At 41.8% G+C, this 7,488-nt stretch overlaps 1 annotated feature.

The window, feature by feature from the left end:
* Nucleotides 7,046–7,246: a silencer, noted in NCBI's record as "peak4064 fragment used in MPRA reporter construct". NCBI's record gives its function as "represses an SCP1 promoter by STARR-seq MPRAs in K562 erythroleukemia cells {active_cell/tissue: K562}" and the evidence as "EXISTENCE:reporter gene assay evidence [ECO:0000049][PMID:32103011]".

Here is a 7,488-nt window from a genome sequence, read left to right as displayed (position 1 = left end):
TTTCACATGGAATGATGCCTGCCTCCCTGCTTTTTGTAATTTTCACTTTCGTGACTCTTCTGATCCCTTGCTCTCCCTTCTCCCTTTTCCCTCTTTCTCACTTTAAAACACCCAGATACTGCTGTACAAATCAAGGTGGAGTTCAGTGCAGTAGCATAGTACTGATTAAGATCTATCCTTACCACTCTGACTAGTGTCCAACTTTGTTCATCTTTGATACCACATACTTCCTGTATATACTCAGATTTCACTGAAACCCCAAAATGGGAGGGGGGAAATGGAGGTAATAACAGCAATAACAGTTCTTATCATTGCAAGAATTAGGGGTCCGTGGCATAGATAACTTGGGTCTTAGACTACATTTTATTCCTGGTGCAAATGTCCATAGGTTTTTCTTGCATAAAAAGAAGGGTAAGTACAGTTGCCACTGTTATGGGAATAACCTGGAATTGGCTCTGACTTATTAAAGAAGCCAATCGTTTTCTAACTTCAGTAACGATTTATTTCCAAAATATCTCATGTTTGACTAATATACATAGTGTCACAGCCTCAGGGTTGAGAACCCCTGGTACTGCCTACCAGACCGTGGGAATGAAGGGTGTAATTCTAAGGCCTTTTGCATGTGCCCTGAGGAGCACGTTGAAAGGGGCTATCCAGGAACTATCAAGAGGTCCATGAGTTCCACATATATAGGAGACCTCTTTCGATTTGGATACAATCTGGAAATTAATGTCATTTGCTTTAAAAGTCCTCTGAAATGCTGTAGCCTCTCAGAGGCTGGACAGGACTCCAACGATGGAGTGACTCTAGGTGCAGAATAAAGGCAGAATTCGAGTGCCTTGCAAGCATAATGACCATGTCCATGTTGACAGGTGGCTAGCATTTCAGAAGGCATTGAATGAAAGCAATCACGGTAGGAATGAGGTTGCTAAAGACTGTGTACTTAAAATTGTCACTTAAAGCAACTGCAGACTGAGAATCATTTACAGCCAATATTAAATGGCTTGCTAAAAGGAAAGAACACATTGGTGCAAATAGGTTTAGAACCACTAGAAATAGGTCTTTAGGCAGCAGAATTGAGACCGTGATAGCAAGAGAGGATATGGACAGGCTAAACCAGGGCAGTACCCTTTTCTGGACTTGGCTAAGAATTTTTATCAATTCCTTTGTAAGAAAGGTTTGAGAAGTGAATACCAGAACTTTATAGTACAGTGTTTGTAATTTGTTTTCTGGGTGTGGTGGTGGCAGCTGTGGCACTGCTGTGGGGTGTGTGTGTGTGTGTGTGTGTGTACAGTGCTTATATTAATTGGTAGTCTCCTTCTGGGTTTTTATTTCATCACTTTCAGTAGATTCTTTATAAAGTCTTGAGTTAAAGAACCCATTCAGATATTTTTATACACATATCAGTACCAGGTGGGATGCACTGATAAATTCATATGAGTTTCAGATCCTCTGAGGAGGCTGACCACATACATAGCTCTCCTCCCAGAGTGTGCCCAGATAAGCTTGTTCCAGCCTGGGCACAGTCTATGTTACATGAGCCAGCAGCACTCTTGCTAGTGGTCCTGTATGAATTGTTTATATTTGGCAGAGATAGGGAAGGAAATCCATTTCCATATTTTCTTTTTCCTCAAAGAAGTTTCAGGAGAGAGAGAATCAAATTCTAAAGGCTTTCAAAATAGCAGTATAAATGAACAAGGTGAATTGGATGTCATGATACGATTGAATATGGAGAAAGACTTGAGTTTTCGGAGCAAATATGTGGGCTATTACTTAAAAAAAAAAAAAGAAATTCCAAAAAGAAGCTAGTAGAAGACCAATAAAATCTAATTGAAGACTTAAGATTAGGTCTGCATTAAATCATCAGGCTGTGTCTGTCTCTTTCTTTTTCTCTCTTAATTTCAATTTCCCAGTTGGACAATGAGAAATTATGCAACAAAAAGAAAGCATTAACTCTACTTAGTCTTTTCTACTCCAGGCAAAGCTGAGTTTGATCCTTACCAAGACTCCTGCAATGAGGTGGGCTATCCTTAGGGTAAGACACAAACTCATTTTGGTGAAAACTTTCCTGATGTACACATGTAATTAAACTATTAAAGTGGTATCTGGAACAAGAATTTTGATTCTATTTTTTGTAAACTAGAAGTGAATCATCCCTCAATGTTGGTGGCAGCAGTTTCTTACGCATTTTTCTGGGAGGAGCCCCTGCCTTGCCCTGTGCCTGGACTGGAAGTGGAGCTTAAAAGGAAACTCAGGGCAAGGTACTTGGGCAGCTGTAAGCGGAAGAGTCAATCACTAGAATTAGTCACATTGCAGCATGATGATCCTAAAAGGCATCATTTTAATAATCCCTAAAACTATTTTTGGAACAAGTCAGGACATGAATACATAAAACAAAAATAAAAATATACATTTAACACTTTTGCACAGTTGAAGCAATTTGTGATTAAGAGAAGGCAGGATAGAAAGAAAAAAAACTCCAACCTACTAGTCTAGCATGAGAGACTTCCATTTAAAGCCCTGTGTTTTAAAGACTCTAATGGAGAGATGGGGCAGATTCATGAAGTAGAGGAAAGAGACATCAAACCTAGAGAAACAAGATTATTTAGTGTAAAAGAAACATCTTTTAGGGCAGAGCAGTGGAGGAAGGGCTGTTGTTTCTAGAGCAAAGGGTCTTAAATTTTTTGAGGTCTCTTTGGAAGTCTGGTAGAGCCTACGAATTCCTTCTCAGAATAATGTTTTAAAATTATACAAGACAACACATAGAATTATAGAGATTAATTATCTCAGAATATGATTATGAAAATACTTTAAAACATATAAATTTATCATATAGTAATATGTATATTTCTTTTCTTTTCTTTTCTTTTTTTTTCTTTTTTTTAGGACAGGGCCTTACTCTGTCACCTAAGTTGGAATGCAGTGGCATGATCTCAACTGACTGCAACCTCCAACTCCTGGGCTCAAGGCATCTTCCCACCACAGCCTCCCAAGTAGCTGAGACTACAGGTATGCGCCATCATGCCTGACTAATTTTTGTATTTTTTGTAGAGATGGGGTTTTGCCATGTTGCCCAGGCTAGTCTCAAACTCCTGAGCTCAAGTGATCTGCCCACCTTGGCCTCCCAAAATGCTGGAATTACAGGTGGGAGGCACTGCCTCTGGCCAATATATGTATTTCTTAATGTACTAATAACAAGATTTAGCAGCAGGTCTGAATTTCCAAAATTTTGAAGTCATGATATACACAAGGGTGATTCCAGATCTCTGCACAGTCATACCGTAGTATGAAAATGTCTGAGACGTCTGTTGCTGACAGAGTCACAAGCCCTGCTCCTGTAAGTCTGGCTTATAGCTTTCTTTCATAACTGAAGGAAATGCTAAATTTCAGCTACAGGTTAGTAGGTCAGATAGAGGTTAAAGAAGCAATTTAACAGATAGACAATAAAGAAGCAATTTTTCCGCTCTCCAATTTCATAGGTCACCCTGAGTTCTCTTCAGGGACCTCTGTTGACCACCCTTTCCTTATTCCTTTAGACAGTATCTGACTGGTAACTTCAGGAAAAGGAACTCAGCTCAGCTCAGCCTCTTGCAGGGCTCTCTTTTTCTCTCTAGACTGTCTGCACAATGCTGACCTTCCCATCCACTCTCTGTCCTGCCGGAGCAGCACACCCCCATAAGGGGGACCTGCAGTTGACCAAGTGGCAAATCTGTCTTTCAGAGGTGGATGTCTACCATCTTCCATAGTTGTACTAAGCCCTGTGTACCAACCCAGCTTTTGTTGGTAATAAACTTGCCATTTTGATCTTCAAATGTCTGCTATGCCCTGCCTCCTCTGTTGGCCTCACATTGGATCCCAAGCCAGCTCTAGAGTGCTGTTGACCTGCTGTGATGGTTAATTTTATGTGTCACCTTAACTGAGCTAAGGGATGCCCAGATAGCTGGTAAAACATTTCTGGGAGTGTCTGGGAGGATGTTTGCAGAAGAGATTGGCATTTGGATCAGTAGGCTGAGTGAAGATTGCTGTCCTCAGTGTGGGTGGGCACACTCAATCCGTTAACAGCCTGAATAGAACAAAAAGGTGGAGGAAAGGCAGGTTGCTCTCTGCTTGCACTGAGACATCCATCATCTCCTGCCTTCAGACATTGACATAGACACTGCTTATATAGACACAGACTCGTGGTTCTCAGGCTTTCAGACTTGTACCAGAACTACACCATTGGCTTTTCTGGGCCTCCAGTTTGTAGAAAACAGATTGTGGGACTTCTCAGCCTCCATAATCATGTGAACCAATCCCTGATTAGAAACTTTTTCTTATATATATGTATTCTTGTTGGTTCTGTTTCTCTGCAGAACCCTGACCAATACAAATGCACAGAGTTTGGAGACAGCTTGGGTGCAAAACCAATCTCTGCTATCACTCACATTGGACTTTGGAAACTATTTCTCTGTCTTAGTTTCTTCATAAGATGGGGGTGATGATAGAATCCACCATGTAGGGTTGTGTAAGAAGTTAGTAAGTGAACTCACAGAATGGTCTTAGAACAATATTGAGAACCTGAAACATGCCCCCAAGAGGTTAGCTGCTTCTGCATGGGGTGTGGAGAAAAGGTGTGCCTCCAATCTCAGCACCTTCTACTTGTGATCTAAAATATCTGCGTGCCTGCATGGATAAGGTGAACTAAATACCTACCAGATTATATTTATTTGTGCTACTTAAATACAACTCAAGAGTTGAACTTTGCCCATTATTAGGGAGACATAATCTCTGCTTCCTTTCTGGTATGTACGTACTGATAGGGCTGTGTTGTTACTAACATAGTGAGGTATTAGCCAGAACCCTATGAAATTGACAGTATTATAGGCCCCAAACGGTTAAATATCAGTAATATCATGTGATTTAACCTAGTACTTCTATACTAATTGTTAAATAGCCACTCACTGCCTCTCAGTCCTCAAGGGACTCTACCTCCTCCCCAGGACTTTCTGGATTTCTCCAACTAGAAGGGTCCACAGGATCTTGCTGTAGTGCTGAGGTCATTTGGTGTCCTTATTGTTATTAAAGGGAAGGCTGCTAAGAGAGTCTATTATTTATTATTTGATGACTTGTGCTAGATTTTGAGACTGTGTAAGGCTCTCAACTTACAGTTTGGACTTCAGTGTTCCTAAGCAATCATTTAAAAATAAAAAAAAAGGCCGGGCTTGATGGCACACACCTGTAATCCCAGCACTTTGGGAGGCCAAGGCCGGCGGATCACTAGGTCAGGAGATCGAGACCATCCTGGCTAACACGGTGAAACCCCGTCTCTACTAAAAATACAAAAAATTAGCTGGGCATGGTGGCGTGCACCTGTAGTCCCAGCTACTCCGTAGGCTGAGGCGGGAGAATGGTGTGAACCCAGAAGGCGGAGCTTGCAGTGAGCAGAGATTGCACCACTGCACTCCATTTCAAAAAAAAAAAAAAAGGATTCAAAGCCTACTTTAAAGCATCCATGACATTTCTTGAACTCCTGTGTTGTGTCCCTATAAGTCTAATTACAGCTCTCAAATGTCTTAAGACTTAATGTCTAGTTCTCTTAGGAGAAGCACGGAGTGAGGACTGATTTAGCAGAGGCTCTAAAAGGATTATCAGAAGGCGCATTGCTCCAAGAGCCCACCAGCTGAGCACAGCCTCCTTCGGTTGTGAACTCCCTGTGCCTGGCAAAGGGAAACAGAGTGAAGCGGGGGATCATGTTATAGTGTTACCTCCTGGCACTGTGGTAGGTCGACTCATGCACACAACCCATCTGACAGCTGAGCTAACTCAGGAGAGCAGAACACAGAAGAAGAATTATTTTGGCATTTAAGAACCTCTAGGATTTGGCTCTATCTCCTAGTCTCTTCTCCAGCAGGTTGTCCCATGCAGTTTTTCACCTTTGCATTCTTAGTACCTTTTCATCCTCCTGAAGTGCCTTTCCTTTCCACCATTCACTGCGGAAATGTGCAACCCAGCCAAAATGCCATGTCCTTCTTAAAGCCTCACAAGACAGTATGCAGCCTGATGGTGGCTGAATCACACAGGCTCCTTTTATTATGGGACACACAGATGAGAACTTCCTTCTTCTAAAGATTGGAGCGAGAAGGAAGAGGTTTGAGGGAGATAAACACAAATTAAGACTCTGTGATGAATCAAATACTTCTGACAATTATTGTTTGATCATTCATAGGACAAATGTGTATGTGCTAGGCATGTCCTAGGCAGTGGAGACAGAATAGTAGGCAGGACACAGTCCCTACCCTCAAAGAGAGACCTTCCCTAAGCTACACTTAAATCTAGATCTTTCTGTTTATGAAGCACGATCTTTTTTTATTATTATTATTATTTATTTTTTTGAGATGGAGTCTTGCTCTGTCCCCCAGGCTGGAGTGCAGTGGCGCTATTTCGGTTCACTGCAACTTCTGCCTCCTGGGTTCAAGCAATTCTCCTGCCTCAGCCTCCTGAGTAGCTGAGACTACAGGCACACACCACCACATCTGGCTAATTTCTGTTATATTTTAGTAGAGATGGGGTTTCACCATGTTGCCCAGGCTGGTCTCGAACTCCTGAGCTCAGGCAATCTGCCCACTTCGGCCTCCCAAAGTGCTACAATTACAGGTGTGAGCCACTGCACCCTGCGAAGCATGATCTTTATATTAGGTTGTTTGGTAATTTTTTCTTTTGGAAGATAATGTACACAAATATAAACACATATGGAATAATAACCAAACATTTGTTCCACTATAAAATCCCAGCCTCCAAATAAATTGTGATGATTATTCTACCCTTACCTCGATATACAGTAATATAAAAGAGAAGTGTCATAGAAACACACTGAAATAAAAGAGCCCAGGTGGCATGTGCCTATTTTCCTTTATGACTTCAGACCCATTGACTTCTCCAATGTCTCCATGGACTTTGGTGTGTAACACCCATGATAACACCAAGCATTTGTCACTGGGCCACGAAGGCAGTACATATGCAAGCCAGGCCACCTGCATGGAGAGGCCTGCTTAATTTACCAGCCAGCGTGTGTAGATATGGAGAGGTCCAGACTGAACTCAGCAGCGAGCTCATGCTCAGATAAGCAAGGTCAGGTGTCCCTGGGGGGCACAGACAATTACAAGAAAAGGCAGCTCATTGCAGCTCCACAAATAGGTTGCAATTTGTGCCTTGCCTTCTTTTGGGCATGGGGACAAAGTTATTCAGGGGAATTATATTGTAATATTTATTTCCCAAAAAGCAAAAGCCTGGGCTTTTTACTAATGTGAACCATTTTGAATTTTACAGCCCTTGAAGGGAAGGGAGATTTTTGTTATTGTTTTGCTGACTTTTGCAACCATTTTGTGAAGTTGATTTTTTAAAAATTATTTTTATTTATTTATTGTTTGAGACGGAGCCTTGCTCTGCCACCCAGGCTGGATAGCAGTGGTGCCCTCTCAGCTCGCTGCAACCTCTGTCTCCTGGGTTCAA

This window comes from Homo sapiens, chromosome 2 (assembly GCF_000001405.40).
Source record: "Homo sapiens chromosome 2, GRCh38.p14 Primary Assembly".
NCBI classification, from domain to species: Eukaryota; Metazoa; Chordata; class Mammalia; order Primates; family Hominidae; genus Homo; species Homo sapiens.
This window is presented reverse-complemented; position numbering and strand designations above follow the sequence as displayed.